This window comes from Homo sapiens, chromosome 11 (genome assembly GCF_000001405.40).
Source record: "Homo sapiens chromosome 11, GRCh38.p14 Primary Assembly".
NCBI lineage: Eukaryota > Metazoa > Chordata > Mammalia > Primates > Hominidae > Homo > Homo sapiens.
The window spans coordinates 117,828,723-117,843,551 of NC_000011.10; the positions used below are offsets into that span (position 1 = coordinate 117,828,723).

The 14,829-nt window shown below is 53.6% G+C and overlaps 2 protein-coding genes and 1 long non-coding RNA gene across 8 annotated transcripts in view, besides 1 other annotated feature; 1 reads left to right on the forward strand and 2 right to left on the reverse strand.

Moving 5' to 3' along the window:
* Nucleotides 1-14,829, reverse strand: part of FXYD6-FXYD2 (FXYD6-FXYD2 readthrough) — a 56,602-nt gene that overhangs the window by 8,666 nt on the left and 33,107 nt on the right. The window contains exons 2-6 of one of the 2 annotated variants that reach the window (NM_001243598.4): nt 13,997-14,059; nt 13,268-13,306; nt 13,069-13,143; nt 11,597-11,646; nt 11,059-11,108 (exon numbers count right to left, since the gene is read on the reverse strand). In NM_001243598.4, coding sequence (NP_001230527.1) covers nt 11,059-11,108; nt 11,597-11,646; nt 13,069-13,143; nt 13,268-13,306; nt 13,997-14,054 — 272 coding nt within the window. In that variant the 5' untranslated portion in view covers nt 14,055-14,059. Of the gene's footprint in view, nt 1-11,058; nt 11,109-11,596; nt 11,647-12,425; nt 12,463-13,068; nt 13,144-13,267; nt 13,307-13,996; nt 14,060-14,829 lie in introns of both variants that reach the window. The other variant, NM_001204268.3, reaches the window with a different exon arrangement.
* FXYD6-AS1 (FXYD6 antisense RNA 1) lies at nt 4,996-9,597 on the forward strand. The gene is made up of 3 exons (NR_186291.1): nt 4,996-5,339; nt 7,547-7,780; nt 8,446-9,597. It is a non-coding gene; the product is annotated as an FXYD6 antisense RNA 1 (long non-coding RNA).
* FXYD6 (FXYD domain containing ion transport regulator 6) overlaps nt 8,259-14,829 on the reverse strand; it is a 40,450-nt gene continuing 33,879 nt past the window's right edge. For all 5 annotated transcript variants that reach the window (NM_001164831.3, NM_022003.4, NM_001164832.3 and 2 more), the window contains 7 exons: nt 13,997-14,059; nt 13,268-13,306; nt 13,069-13,143; nt 12,426-12,462; nt 11,597-11,646; nt 11,059-11,108; nt 8,259-9,555 (listed from right to left, as the gene is read on the reverse strand). In NM_001164831.3, coding sequence (NP_001158303.1) covers nt 11,080-11,108; nt 11,597-11,646; nt 12,426-12,462; nt 13,069-13,143; nt 13,268-13,306; nt 13,997-14,054 — 288 coding nt within the window. In that variant the 5' untranslated portion in view covers nt 14,055-14,059 and the 3' untranslated portion in view covers nt 8,259-9,555; nt 11,059-11,079. The remainder of the gene's footprint in view (nt 9,556-11,058; nt 11,109-11,596; nt 11,647-12,425; nt 12,463-13,068; nt 13,144-13,267; nt 13,307-13,996; nt 14,060-14,829) is intronic.
* Nucleotides 12,990-14,189: an enhancer, noted in NCBI's record as "MED14-independent group 3 enhancer chr11:117712427-117713626 (GRCh37/hg19 assembly coordinates)". NCBI's record gives its function as "activates an origin of replication core promoter dependent on BRD2, BRD4, P300/CBP and CDK7 cofactors, and independent of MED14, by STARR-seq in HCT116 cells {active_cell/tissue: HCT116}" and the evidence as "EXISTENCE:reporter gene assay evidence [ECO:0000049][PMID:35650434]".

The window sequence follows — 14,829 nt, forward strand, 5'->3', positions numbered from 1 at the left end:
CTCCTGTGGCCTGCCCTTTCCTCAGCTGGGACCCCTCACTCAGCCCGCAGTGACTCACCCAGCCCACAGTGACTCACCCAGGCTGTGATGTCAGGCCTGCCTGCCACACCTCAGAGGGCTCAGCTGGAGACACCAGCAGCCTAATGAGTCCTCTGGGGGCTGCTGGTTGGTATCAGAGGGGAATGGCCAGAAGACAACACTGCTAGGCCCAGGGCATGGTCAGAGCCAGAAGCCAGCAGGGAGCCACAGGGAGCCCCACCAGGCGGGGCAGGCCACTAGGCAGGGTGTCCTACCATGCAGGGCAGCCCACTACACTGCCCAGGCAGTCTCTGTTCCTCGGCCACCAAGGCCTTGCCCACAGCAAAGCCACAGTGAGCAGTCTCTGTGTGGCTGACTTGGGACCACAGGGTCTCCGTCAGGTTCCTGTAGCCGCCCTGGCACGGCCACCCCAACGTGGACACTGAGAAGCAGAGTTAGGAGGGGCTGGCTCTGGCCCCAGCCTCTGACCCGGGCTCTGGTCACTCTGACTCCCGCCTCTCTGTCCCTCCTTTGCAACACTCCCTGTCCTGAGGGGAGGACTCATGACGTCCCAGGGAGCCCTCTCAGGGCTGAAATAGAGACCAGGAGGTCTAAGAGGTGCTATTTGTTATCAGGATGGGCTGAGATCGGCGCTGGGGCCCCTGAGCACAGCCCTGACTCCAGGCTCTCTGCACCTTTCCCTCCAGACCACCCTGGAGGCAGGGCCAGACCTGTCCTGGGGTGGATAACAGCTCGGCTGGCAGGCGGGCCTGTCCCATGCTCCCAAGTGGAAACCTGCCCACTCAGCCCAGAGCGGCTGAGTGGAAATTCCCCAAGCTGGGGTTAGAGAAGTTTACAAACCTCGGGACTGGGTGAGACTTAGAGGTACCTGGTCCAAACATATTCTAAGTGGTCCAGAAAAGTGGAGCTCTCAGCCAAATCCCCCCCACCCACACCGCCAGTATACACACTCTGTTCCCTGCCCGCCACCAGTGTTGTGAAGGAAGGCATCTCTATCTCAGAGCCCGGTGTGATTGATGGTCCAACCAGAAAGGACACCAAAGCCATCCCATCCCAACCCCTCCCTTTAAAAGTTGCTCCCTCTCCTGCTCAAAATCCTCAGAGAGGGCTCGGATGATACGCAAAATCTTTGTGTGTCCAAAAAAGAAGCCCCTTTTTTTTTTTGAGATGGAGTTTTGCTCTTGTTGCCCAGGCTGGAGTGCAATGGCGCGATCTCAGTTCACTGCAACCTCTGCCTCCTGGGTTCAAGCGATTATTCTGACTAAGCCTCCCAAGCAGCTGGGATTACAGGAGCCGCCACCACACCCAGTAATTTTTGTATTTTTGTATTTTTAGTAGAGACCGGGTTTCGCCATGTTGGCTGGTCTCAAACTCCTGACCTTAGGTGATCCGCCCGCCTTGGCCTCCCGAACTGCTGGGATTACAGGCGCGAGCCACCGCACCCAGCCAAGAAGCCCTTCTCATTCTGGCTCTAGGCACCTGTGAGCTGGTCCCCCACCTCCCCGCCCTGCTTTCTGCTCCAGCCATGCTGGCCTTCTTGACACCCCTCACCCTCCAGGACCTCCGCACCGGCTGTTCCCGCTTCCTAAATGCTCAGCCTCCACAGGGCTTCCTGCTCGGTACACGCTGCCTTCAGGGCTTTCTTCAAAGCCCTGATTCTGGACATCCCTGTATAAAATGTTCACACCCACTGCCTCAGCCTGGCTTTTCCTCTGTGGCACTTGTTCTTAACTAAGGTATGTATTTCCCTTATCTTGTTTGTCCCTCTCCCAACTAAAATGTAAGCACCAGGAGAGCAAGGATTTTTGTTTGTTTGTTCATTCCCCCATGCCTGGAACAGTGCATCGTGGGACCCAGTTTTATTAAATGAATGAATCAGTCCCAGGCAAAAATCAGGCAAAGATGGGGACAGGATAGAGGGGAAATCACTTCTCCCATGCTGCAGGCAGACCTAGGACTTGCCTCAGGCAGCCTCCTTCCATGCTGTCGCCTGCCCTGTGAGGAGTCACAAGACCCGATTTGCCCTCACAGAGGCAGCAACCCTCACCTTGCTGACAGCTCCCCCAGAGTCCCTCTCGGGGTTCTCTCTCCCTCCTCTTGCACCCCATCCCCCCACTCCCCTAACCTCCCCTTCCTTCTCCAGCCCAGCAGCAATTTTCAGAAATTGTCCTGTTTGTTCTTTGGGGGAAGCCCAGGCATTTGTTAAGTCAAGCAGGTCCCACCCCTCTCGCTTCACTCATGTTTAAGTCCTTCTCAGACTTCCTTCCTGTCCTCCCCCAGCTAGCTCAGGTCATGGGTCCTAGCTAGCACTGGGGACAGGGAACCCCTCTCTGAGACACCTGCTCTCCTGCAGAGAGGTTGCGGCCCTTCCACCTGTGGCCCATGTTCCTGAGAGCAGCTCAGTTCAGGAGGGTCTCTCCTCCTAGACACCACGCAAGGCACCCTGAGGGCCAGACACACCCATGCATAAATCCCCTTTCATCCTGAGACTTTGCTGAGGACTGCCTGACCCTGGGCAAGGGCACCCCTCTGGGTCTCCTCCCACCTGTAAAATAGGGTAATAACACCTACCTTGCAGTATTGTTGTGGGAACAGAGGCAAGGTAGGTCAAGCGTTTGGCCAGAGAAGGTCCTAAAAACTGATGGCTGTGTTTTCCTTACTCCGAACTGAGCCCCCCAGGAGACAAGAACACTCACAGCAATCCCTTCCCTTGGCTCAGTCCCCAGTTGCGGTGATCTCTAAAGCAGGCCTCTGGGAGCACCCTGCCCTGGTATGATCCTGCTGGCCACAACTCACCCTGCATCTCCAGCCTCCCTTTCTTCTCCACACAAAACCAAGAAACCTCCTTTGTCTAATGGTTCCAGGATGGAGACAAAGGAGCATCCAGCTGTGCTCTCCTGTTCTCTGCAAGACCCAGAGCTCTGGGAGATGTTGGGAGGTAGAGGCAGTGCCCACTCCTGGATGCGTCAGCACTGTCACAGCTGATGGGACCGTGCCCTCAGTGGCGAGGCCTCCATCTCCCCTGTCTCCCCTAGGCAGGCCTCCCTTTTGTCTCCTGACTCCTAAGTCTCAGGGCAGTCATTTGGGGTGGTCGTTGCTGGGTTGGTGGGGCAGGGAGGAAATAGGCTGGAATCCAGCTGACCTCTGTTTTCCTGGTGATCAAAGGCAGAGGCCCTCACCACCAGCTTCCCAGAATGGGGTTCTCCAGCTCCGCCAGCTCTGGCCTTTGTGGGAGTTTACAGCCTTGAACTCCAGGTCCCCAGATCAGTTCCTCCTGGTGTTGGCTTGCAGCTGGAAAGGGGCTCCAATGAAGCAGAAGCCAGAAGCACCTAGAAAGCCATGACCCCAGGCCCAAGTCAGTCCTCAGCTGCATAACCCGTATGGCCACTGGGCAGGGAAAGTGGCAGTTCCCAAGCCCCATTTGTCCCACTCAGAGGTCCTGAATCCTGAGGAACGCTGGCTCCTGCCTCCTGCTATGGTTGCAGGTGCCAGGTCCCTGGGGTCTTATAAGGCAGGGCTGGAAGGAGGTGGGCCCCAGAGGGTCCATTCCTTAAGTGTTGGCTTCAAGAAGGCCTGAGCCATGGTGCACAGAGGTTCTGAGAACTGCCAAAGGGCAATGTACTCTGAGAGTCAAGGTCACCAGCTGGTGACAAGGGCAAACCCATTTGACCCACCTCCCCCACAGTGAATGCCTTGGAGAGAAATGCATTCTTGACTGTTCTCAGAACTCACATCCAGGCTTGAACCACAACAGAGCCCATTCCTCTCCAGCTTTTCTTGGTTTTCTCCTCCCAGTAACCAAACTCCCTCTCACCTCTGGGAGAGGCTCGCCACCTCCGGGAAGACCTCGCGGAGCAAGCCCACCCCTGGTTACTCTTACCTTCCCTCCACCACCTTCCGGATGCCACTGACATGGCTTGAATGGCCAGCATGTGGCCGTGTCACCATTCTCTTCATTTATAGCACAGATTGCCAAGTCCCTGGCCTCCTTGAGGCCTCAGGTCGGGTAAGCTGTTAAACGTTTGTACCTGCACTGAGCCTGGTGCCCACTCTCCACACTTGGCAGCAATTCCACCCTATTCCAGGGTCTCAGTGGTTCCAAAGAGCTGCTTAGAGCCTCCCAACAATTCAGCCAGGCAGGCTGTGAGATGCCCATTTTACAGAGGACACTGCAGGTGGTCTGCAAACAGGTCAGAACATGAACCCAAGTCTAACAGAGACAAGAGGAACCCGGCCATCAGAGAATGAGGAGACAAGGAAATGGATAGTGATGCCAACATTTATAGCATAATGGCTACATGGAGAATTGTCACGGTGCTTCGATGTCCATTGTATCACTTTGACCCTGTGAGATAACAGAAAACATCTTGATGCATTTATTTTATAGGTGATGAAACTGAGGCTTAAGTGGCTTTTCCAGGGTTACACAGTGAGCAGGAGGCCCAGCTTACCCCAAAGCTAGGAAGGACTTGATTATTCAGAAAAGGAAACTGACAGAGAGGCTGGGGTCTTTCCAAGCTCACACTGTTAGAGCAGAAGGGACCTCGGGGATGTTCTGAGCCTCAGGCTCTACCAGACTGCCTCCAAGCCCAGCTCAGAGGTAGGAAACCGTTCTTCTGGATAGTGCAGGGGGGCCCACCCCCTCCAGTCCCTGCCATCCAGGTCCTTCAGGACATGCGATCACAGCATCACCTGCTCTGCCATCATTGCCTTGGCAGGTGCCCCACTGTTGTGCAACCAGGCCCGGGGCTGGGCTGGCCCCATCAGATCAACAGCTGGTTGGCTTGAGCCGGCTGAGTCTGCCCCCCTGGAGCTCAGCTGTGACAGCAATAAATCACACTAATGGAGAGAGGTGGCCATTCCTTCTCTGTGGCCTGGAGACAGGTTTTTCCAAAGCTCCTCCCCTGGCTCAGGCAAACACACCTGACCTTTCTCTCGCTGGGCCCAGGGTGAGGCAGAGCAGCCAGGAACAAGGTGGGGTGAACCAGACAGAGCTGGAGTGCTCTCCCACCCCTGCTTTGCCCAGCCTCCCCGCCAAGCCCATGATTCCAAGCAAGGTAAGGCCCTCCTCCCAGAGGAAGGGGCCAACAGCCCGGTGACCTTGGAGTGTGCTTCGCCTGGCACTCCCCTCACACCGCTCCCTACAGCTTGTACTCTGCCTCTGACTCTCTTCCAAGAACAATTTGGCAAGTTCTAATCTACATCTTGCAAAAAAAAAACAAAAAACAAAAAACAGAGAGGTAGGAGGGCCACAGCACCTGGGGTCCCAGAAGGCAGACTGACCTATTCCTACAGCAGGGGTAAGTAACGCAGAAAACCTCCAGGCAAAGAGACATGGAGATCTTCGAAATGGAATGGGGGGTGGAGGGAGTCACTGGGAGGCAAAAGGTGTGGGACACCTGAGGTTACTGAGACAGGGAACTTGGGATTCCCTTCTGGGAAATGACACAGCATGGCAGCTGTCCTTCTTATTCAGTCAAGCTACATTGCCTCATTAAACCAAATCACAGCTACAAACCAGTGCCACATGCCTGGAGGCTGAGTGGACACTCCTGGTCCTCCTCATGGAGATATATAGCACTCTGAGTTCTGATCCAGCTCATCTGTGTGAAGTCCTCAAACAAGCACATAGTAAGTGCTCCATAAACTTCAGCTGCTCATTTTTTTTAATTATTACCATTTTGACCATCATTTCTTCGATTGTTCTTCATGTGTCTTGTTTCCAGACCATTAGACTCCCACAGGAGGCTCCTTGGAGCATGGTCCAGCTAGTTTATGTCTTGAAGGGGCAGCCATGCTCCAGGTGCAGTCTTGGGAGCCATCTGATCACTGTCCCTTCTTCTGAGCATCTGCCTGCTGAAGGAGGCTAGGCCATGTGCTGACAAGCACTATGGACAGACAGCCCGGGGTCAAGTCCTAGCTCCTCCATCCCCCAGCTGTGTAACCTGGACCAGGACGATTGTATCTCTGACCAATCTCAGAATATAGCTGGATTACTAGGAGGAAAACTAAGTGAGTGCTTAGAGGCGGGCAAAGTAAGGATAACCATTTGTAGATGATGTGCTAGAGATGCTGACCATCATTCCTTACTCTTAACATAATTATTATGAGAAAAATTAGAACCTCCTCATTGGACTTCCTTATTCCTATGTCGAAGTATAATGTTCTGTTTTTACTAACGTATGGGGGGCGGCACACACAAAGCTTTGCATGTCTAGGGCCTCTAGGGATCTCAGCCTGGCCTCGCTATGAAATTTCTGCAAGGCCTGTCAATTCCCTGATGTATCACGAGTGTTCCCGAACAATAAGCTCATTTACCAGGTCTTGCTGTGACCAGATAGTTTTTAATCGCCATGATCACTGGGTTGACAGGTTGAGCTTGAGCTCTACCATAAGCCTGTGTCTTTCCAAAGGCCTGGGGGACCGAAGGCAGAAGCAAGAGCACACGTAGAGAAGGCACCGAGCAAGCGGATCTGTGCGGTTCTTCGGTTCTAAACAACTTGCGGAATCCAGGCGGACTCAGGGCCTGTGTGGCCACTGGGCAGGGAAGGTGGTGGTTCCCAGGCCCATCGAAACCACAAGGAGCACTGACTTCTGTCTCCTGCTATAGCTTCAGGTGCCAGGTTCACTGGGGTCTTAGAAGTTGGGGCTGGAAGGAGGTGGGCCCAGAGGGTCCCGCTCCTTAAGTGCTGGCTTCAAGATGGAAGATATTAAGACGTTCCAGGGGTCGATTCTTTTTTCAAGACCCTAAGATGTTCCAGGCTTCTGTAGAGCAGGCACAGTCCTTGCCCTCCAGGAATTGTATCAATAAAGACACAAAACACTAGAGGCAGAAGCTGCACACAGGCAACCTCCACGCAGAATCTGCCCACATCTGTGTTGGTTTGGCCAACAGTGGTTTTTAGAAAGTTGAGTCAGAGTGTCTTTGGGAGGACACCGTAGGTGACTGCAGGTGCCATGCCCCATCGTCACTCCAGCAGATTCACATATTGGCATTACCTGCCTGGTCTCTACAGTCTGGATGCCAAGTATGAAGTGTGAATATAAAGGCAGCAAACAAGTGTGATTGGGGCACAAGAAAGGGATTCGGCTGGGCGCTGTGGCTCACGCCTCTAATCCCAACAATTTGGGAGGCTGAGGCAGGCAGATCACTTGAGGCCAAAAGTTCGAGACCAGCTTGGACAACATGAAGAAATCCCGTCTCTACTAAAAATATAAAAATTAGCCGGGTATGGTGGAAGGCACCTGTAATCTCAGCTGCTCAGGAGGCTGAGGCAGGAGAATCGCTTGAACTCAGAAGGCAGAGGTTGCAGTGGGCCAAGATAACGCCACTGCACTCCAGCCTGGGCGACAAGAGCAAAACTCCATCTCAAAAAAAAAAAAAAAAAAAAAAAGGGATTCGATTCTACCTAATGCCCAGGGAGGCTCCACAGAGGAGGGGTATTTCACAATCCACGTCACCCACCCTGTCACTCCCTTGATCCCTTCCTTCCTTTTTTCTTTTTAGAGACAAGGTCTCATTCTGTTGCCCAGGCTGGAGTGCAGTGGTGCAATCACGGTTCACTGCAACCTGGAACTCCAGGGTTCAAGCAATCCTCCTGCCTCAGCCTGCCGAGTAGCTGTGACAACAGGTGCGAGCCACCATGCCCAGCTAAGATTTCACCATGTTGCCCAGCTGGTCTTGAACTCCTGGCCTCAAGCAATTCTCCTGCTTTAGGCTCCCAAGTTGCTGGAATTACAGGTATGAGTCACCACCCCTGGCTCTCTTTACAAGTCCTTAGGTAGTGGCCCCAGAACTGACCAAAGAGAAATGTTAGGATGTTTTACTCCAGGCCACTGAGTACTTGGAGAAGCCATTGTGACTCCCTTTTTTGCTCCAAGACAGTGTGCAATGTACAGGTCCTGCTATGGGATGTGGCTTGAGCCCAGTGGCCTGGGAAGGCGGGAGAGAGGGAGGGAGGAATAGAAATGGCGGGAAGGTGCGGGACGAAGGGCTGAGCAGGAGGAGAGGAAAGTGAAGGAAGAAAAGGAAAGGAGGGAAGAGAAGCGGGGAGGAGGCAACAGTGACAGCAGCTGACGGGGCTCTGTGCCTGCCTGGGTGGCTATCCAGTCCTTCCTCTTCCCTCTGACCATGGACGGACTCCCTCTAGCCCTTTAAGTTCCACAGACCCTACAAACACTCAAGTTCTTTCACAGAAAGGAAAGCACCTCCGAGCCACTAGGAAACAAAGGATATTTTATTCCTTTTTTCTGTTGTTGTTGAGGATAGATCACGATACAGAGAACAGCAATGGGTCACAGCGCACGGTTTGGTTGGTTTCCGCGGGAACACAGAGGACAGGAGGGGCGGGATCTGGGTTGAGTTCCCACTCTCGTTATGACCTTCAACCTCTCACTGTTCCCAAGGGCTGCACGGAGCCTGCTGAGTCTCCAACCCACCTCGCTCACCGCTCTGACCACTGACAGGCAGAGCAAAGGATGCGGGAGTTGCCTCTGCTGCCCATCTAAGGGGACGTAGGCAGAGAAGCAAAGGCCTCTGCTCTCCCTCCATCCATCCCGGTGTGCTGGCCCCAACGGAACAGGAGTCCTTCAACTATTGCCTGCCAGAGACCCAATTGCAGGGACTGTAGTCTGCATCTGGATGAGCTGGGCTGTAGATTGAAGTCTCAGAAGCAGGGAAGGTTGGAAGGGGTAGGGTCCCAGAGCCCATGGAGTTATTGCTGAGAAGATATGCAGGGGACACATTCCCCAGGGGCAGAGTAGAAGCCCTGGGCCTGGAATCCCCGGGCGCTCTGTGAAGGGGCGGGGCAGATGGGGACTCCTCGTGGAAGCCCCTGGGAAGAAATTAACCACGGAAGGGCATAGCCTGCCTGACGTCAACGCTGGGCTCACCAGCTCCTTGCTTTGTATCTCCAGTTGCTAAGAGACCTTCAGACTGGGATCAGGTGGGATAAGGAAGCAAGGTTTTTGTTAAAGGAGTGAAAGGAGTCCATGAAGAATGATGACAAAGTGCTGCAAACCTTCCCAGGTCCCAAGACGACTGAAGACCACTGCCCGTGCTCTTACCCTACGCATCCCTAAATCAGGGGAGGGGGCTGGTCTCGGGCAACAAGCAGCCTCCTAGGAGCAGAAGGTGATGGAGGGCCACGGGGGCAGGGAGGAGCAGATGGCCATGTGGCTCAGCCCCTGCCTGGGAAAGCGAGTCCACAGTTCACTAACAAACACAATACCATCCACAAACAAGTAGCCACAAAGACCACAGTTAGCAAACACACACAGTCACACACACACACACACACACACACATCACGGGAGGTGGGCAGGACCGCAGGCTGCAGTGGGGAGGCAAGTGTTAGTTGCATCATCAGGTGGAGGAATGGTGTTAGAGGGGATAGGGTGGGGGACACACAAGTTCTTGGCTTCTCCTGGGGAAAGGGCTGTTGCTGAAGTGGCCGGTTTTCTTAAGCATCGACATTTGCATCCAAAGGTTCAAGCAGCCGCCTCAGGTTCCAGAGGCTGAGGAGGAGGATAATTTAAATTAAAAACACTTCGGCTGCCTCTGGTATCCTTATCTGCTTCTCTCCCTTCCTTGAGCACCTGCCCACTGAAATTCCCGGTATGACAGCCTCGTCTGAGACGCAGAGAAAGGAGACAAAGACACAGGGGAGGGGTGAACCTCAGAAGAAGCCTCTCCCAGGTGGGCTGGAGCCTGGCAGACATGGAAAGGAAATTGTTAAACCCAGGACCTCCCCAGTGGTTGCTCACAGTCCTGAGCCTTAGGATAAAAGGTTTCTGAGAAAGAACTAGTTTGGGAAAAAAAAAATGAAAAGACATTTCATTTCCAGGCTGCCTCCTCTGAGCCTTCCCAGATTCTCAGTCTGTGATGAAATAGACAGAACACCAAGCTACCAGGAAGGGCACCTGCCTCCTAGATCGGAATCTTCGTCCATTCGCACTTAGGTGATCACTTGCCTTCGAGAGCCCCATCCAGAAGACGGGAGTAATGAGCCCTGCTCTGCCCATCACGGGCCGCTATGAGGATGCAAAAGCACTTAGGAAAGAATTTAAATGCTACACAGGCACACGATATTGTTACGCACAGTCAAAGCTGGTGCATCGGGCACTTCATCATCCAGAAACCTCTTTTACCTTACAATGTGAGATAAACTTATATACCTTTCTATAATGCCTTACTTGTATGGGGGGAAAAAAAGGCAGAAGTGAGCTGACAAAACACAAACCTTTTCCCTTAGGATATTCCAGGGCATGTCATAAAGCGAGACGCACAGGACAGAGGGGAGCAGTGGCGCTGAACCACAGCCGCAAAGGCCTGAGTTCACAGTCCGGGCTGTCACTCTCCACGGGGCTATTCCCTCTCATCTTGGTTTCACCTATAAAATGGGCTAAACCCCACCTGTCCCATCCTCTTTTTCTGGCAGACTCGAGTGAGTCTGTGTGTGTGGTGGCACTCTGAAAACTGTACAGCATTTGCCAGTTACTACTCTCCTGTGCCCCCTACGATGAACAATGGAAATAGATACTAAAATCAGTGCCCTTAAATGTGGAGAGGGAAGGATCATATACTATTTGCTCTACTTTTGGTTAGGGTTGGGAAGTTTCATAATAAGGTGTTTAAAAAAACAAGTGGCCCTAAAGTACTTTCTGAGTCACCACGGAAAGCCATTATCTTTATGCTACTTTGAGATTAGGAGCATTTCACTAACTCTAATTCTCCCATGTTGCACTTGGGATGACGCCCTATGCACTCGGCCAGTGGGCTGTGTGGAAGCCCCATTTCCTGGTGTTGGCATGCATGTGTGTGGGACACTTCGGGTGTTTCTAGTCCTGGTCTCTCTCACAGCCCCTTTCAGACTCCTGAAGGCTCCTCAGGGCAGGGCCCATAATAAAAGCTGTGCCCACTGCAAAAGCTAGCCCCATCCTTCCCGCCTGAACCCCTGTCCAGGCCCTGATGCAGACGGTGATGGCAACAGGGGCCAATCCAGGCACTGAGCATCTCACCTTCCACCTGATGGCTGCACTTCAGTTCTCTGCTTTCTGGGGCTCTGTTGCTGGAAAGAAAACCAGAATGGATTATAGTGTATAGACTCCTCACCCCCGTGGGCCACCCCCAACAGCAGCCGTGTCTCTGCCTGACTCTGGGGGAGCAAAGAGGTGACGGGCATGGGATTTCGAGTCAGAACGATCTGGGTTCAATCCTGGCCCTGCTACTTGCTGCTTACAGGAACCTGGTAACCTCTCTCAGTCCCTCGGTTACAAAATGGGGACAATGATGCCTATTTCAGGGCTGTGTGCCCATTAAATGATATGGGGTCTGTGCCTGGCACAAGCAGATGCTCTGTAAATAGCAGGTGACACTAGTAGTAGCCTGTTTGGTGGAGTGAGGGGGCAATGCTGCAGAGGCCCTGGAGACCCACTCTCCTGGCACTGCGGGAGCATGTCTGGCTGGCCATGCACCTGGCAACAGTCCCTTCCTGAGCCACAGAGGGGTCTCTCTGTTCCCTCTTTTCCACCTGGGCAGGTGGTCACGGACAGTTACCATTGGCGGTGATGAGGTTCTCCACCTGGGCTTCCTCATCTCCTGGGGCCCTGCAGGAGAAAGAGACACACAGCCCCATCAGAGATCTCCAGGGCAGACCCAGAGAGCATCGTTCTGCTCCTCACTGGGGCACAGCTGCCTGCAGTCAGGCTCCTCCCAGTGCCCTGAGGGGCTGGAGCTCACTCTGCTGTGGGATGCATGGGACAGAGGGAAAGGTCTGGACTGAAGGGTCAGACTCAGAGGGAACTTACAGGCACCCTTCAATGTCAGCCCTCATGGGAAGGGGAGGCTAGGGCCACATGGGGGCTTGGGTGTGTCCTGCCACACGCTTTGGACTTCTGGGGTCCAAGCTACCCTTGGCTATTATAGTAAACTAATGGGGTATGACCTCTATGTGGGAGTAGAAAGAAGGTCCAAGTGTCTATTCAGCTCAAAGAGCCTCATGAACAGGTGACAAGTGGGGACTGTGTCGCAGGTCCTGTAGAGAGGACCTGGGCATCTAGAGAGGCCAGGAAGCCCTCTGCTTCCCTTCTCCCAAGCTCAACTGTCCCAAGGGCCTCCAGAAAAGGTTCCAGTACTTTCTTGTCCACTCCCCGTCCCCCACATAGATCAGAAGAGACAGGATGGGCTGACCTTCAATGTTTTGACCTCTCCTTTGCCCCAGAGTCTACCTGGCAGTCCTCAAACTTCCAGCCCTACGTCCCAACACACACGTTCTGCCTCCGAGACAAGAATCCAAGAGAATGCCCATTTGGGGGTCACACACCAGGGGTCCCTTCCTGTCCCACCTAGTATCACCCCCCCAAGGCCACTGCCACGGCATCCTTACCGGGGCTTCTGATTGAAACTGCACTTGCACCTGCGACCTGAAAAGCAAAGAAACCATCCAAGGTCATGCTGCTGGCTTGGCCACAGCAGGGCCAAGGGTCTGTGCAGGTTGTGGGACTATGTAAATGGCACCCCCTAGACCTGGGCAGTGCACAGTTTGCACAGCTGCACACAGTGGCCCTCGGATGGGGTAGCTTCTTCTGGGGCAAAGGAAATACATTCTATAGCTGGAATGGCTACACCCCCACAGCCCTCTTGATCATGTGAGTAAAGAGGGATCTGTGCAGATCAGGCTCATGTGGGAACAACAAACTCGGAGGCACATCCCTCGCACACTAGGGCAGCACCTGTCTCCTTCCTCCGTGACTGCCCCATTCATGCCCTATAGACACAGCACTGGGAAGCCACCCTGCTCGTTCCTATCTATGCTCATTGTCATATGACATTTTCTTTGTTCCCGTGTCACTGTTTTACTGAGCACTTACTATGTGCCCAGCACTCTACTGGGTCGTGAAGATAACACGGAGGGCAGGCAGCCTCCTTTCCTCTCCAGGAGAGGGACCAACCAGGCTCTCACACTGTCCCCACCTGCTTAGCAGCCTCAGTCATTGCTCTTAACAGAGTGAGCAAAAGAACAAACTTACTTAGGATAAGGAGGATCCCAACCGAGAAGAGGACCACAGCGAACACCAGTCCCCCAATCCTCAGGGTCTGGTAATCTGCCAAAGGAACCAAGGGTGAGAGAGGAAGGGGCCAGGGAGAGGGTGTCTGTTCCCCCTACCCCTCCTGCCAGGCAGGGCTGCATTCCCCCTGACCCCTGCACCCAGGGTTGCCATCGCTCACCATAATGAAAAGGGTCCATTTCCTTCTCCTTTTCAGCTGCTGCAAAAACAAACAGTTGGTCAAGAGAAAGAAAGCTACACAAACTGGTTCCCAAATATCTAACCTTGCCTCACAGACCTCAGTCTCCACAAAGGAATTCCAGAGGAGCAGGGCCCATTAAACAGAGATGCCTAGAGGTGCACGGTAGGGCGGGCCTGCCAGTTAGGGGGTTAGGGGAACCCTAAGGGCCGAGGTCAGTGAAGGCATCGAAACTCAGTGAGGCTCTGAGTCATGCAACACCCACATTCATTGCCCCTTTGTATTCTTACATCATCCCCAGAAGGCAGGGTCAGTTTTCCTCTTGTGACACACGGAGAAACCGAGACCAAGGAAGGACATATGACTTGCACGAGGCCAGCACTTGCTAATATGGTCTAGAGACTGATGTGCAGGTCTGAATCCCAGGGTTCAGGCCACAAATCCACAGAGGCGCAGTGAGCTTGCGGGGCTTAAAAACTACTCCCTGCCGGACCCTTAGGGGGCGAGGGGGCAGGCTGTGCTGAGGTCTGTGAATAAATAGCTGCCACCTCCACGACTTTCTCTGCTGACTGAAGGGAGAGGCCCCTGACTAGACATGAAGAACGTGAGAGTCCCCCAGCCCTAATGTCCCAAGGGGCCCAGAACCTTCCAGCAGAGAGGGCTGGACAGGGTTGTCATCTTGTCACAGCCAGGTCCCAGAGGGGTACTTACCACTGGCCAGGACCATGGGGGCCAGCAGGCTGCAGAGGAAGACCAGCACCAACTCCATGGCGTCTGGGGACAGAGGGAGGAAAAAATGATTCTCTGGCTAAGAAGCCTCCATCCGTCAGCTCCAAGCGTCAGCCTGACCAGGGGCCAAGCCAAATCCCCAGCTTTGCTCTGCACTCATGACTTGGTGAGGGTTCAAACAACCTAAGCACAAGCAGTTGACTTTTTTTTTTTTTGAGACAGAGTCTCGCTATCTTGCCCAGGCTAGAGCGTAGTGGCATGATCTCGGCTCACTGCAACCTCCGCCTCCCAGGTTCAAGTGATTCTTCTGCCTCAGCCTCCTGAGTAGCTGGCATTAGAGGCGTGTGCCATCATGCCCGGCTAATTTTTTGTATTTTTAGTAGAGACAGGGTTTCATCATGTTGGCCAGGCTGGTCTCGAACTCTTGACCTCAAGTGGTCCATCTGCCTCAGCCTCCCAAAGGGCTGGGATTATAGGCGTGAGCCACCACCAGTTGACATTTCTTGGACTCTTAGAGAATGCTCTGCATGTATTAATTCAATTGGCACAATTGAGTTAGTACAATTAGCAAGCACTACAACTAACGCAGGCCGAGAACCTGAAGCTTAATGAGGCTGACATGCACCAGAGTGAGTAGCAGGGCCTAGATCCTAACCCAGCATGGTAACTCCTCCACCACGTTGCCTCTGGGACGTGACTTTGAAGATCTCAACTGTGTCCTTCTCTCCAGGCCACCCTTCTGTGGCCATCCCTAGTTCATTCTGACAGCCAATACCCCATCAGAAATGTCTCTTAATATCAGACTAAATGGGGCC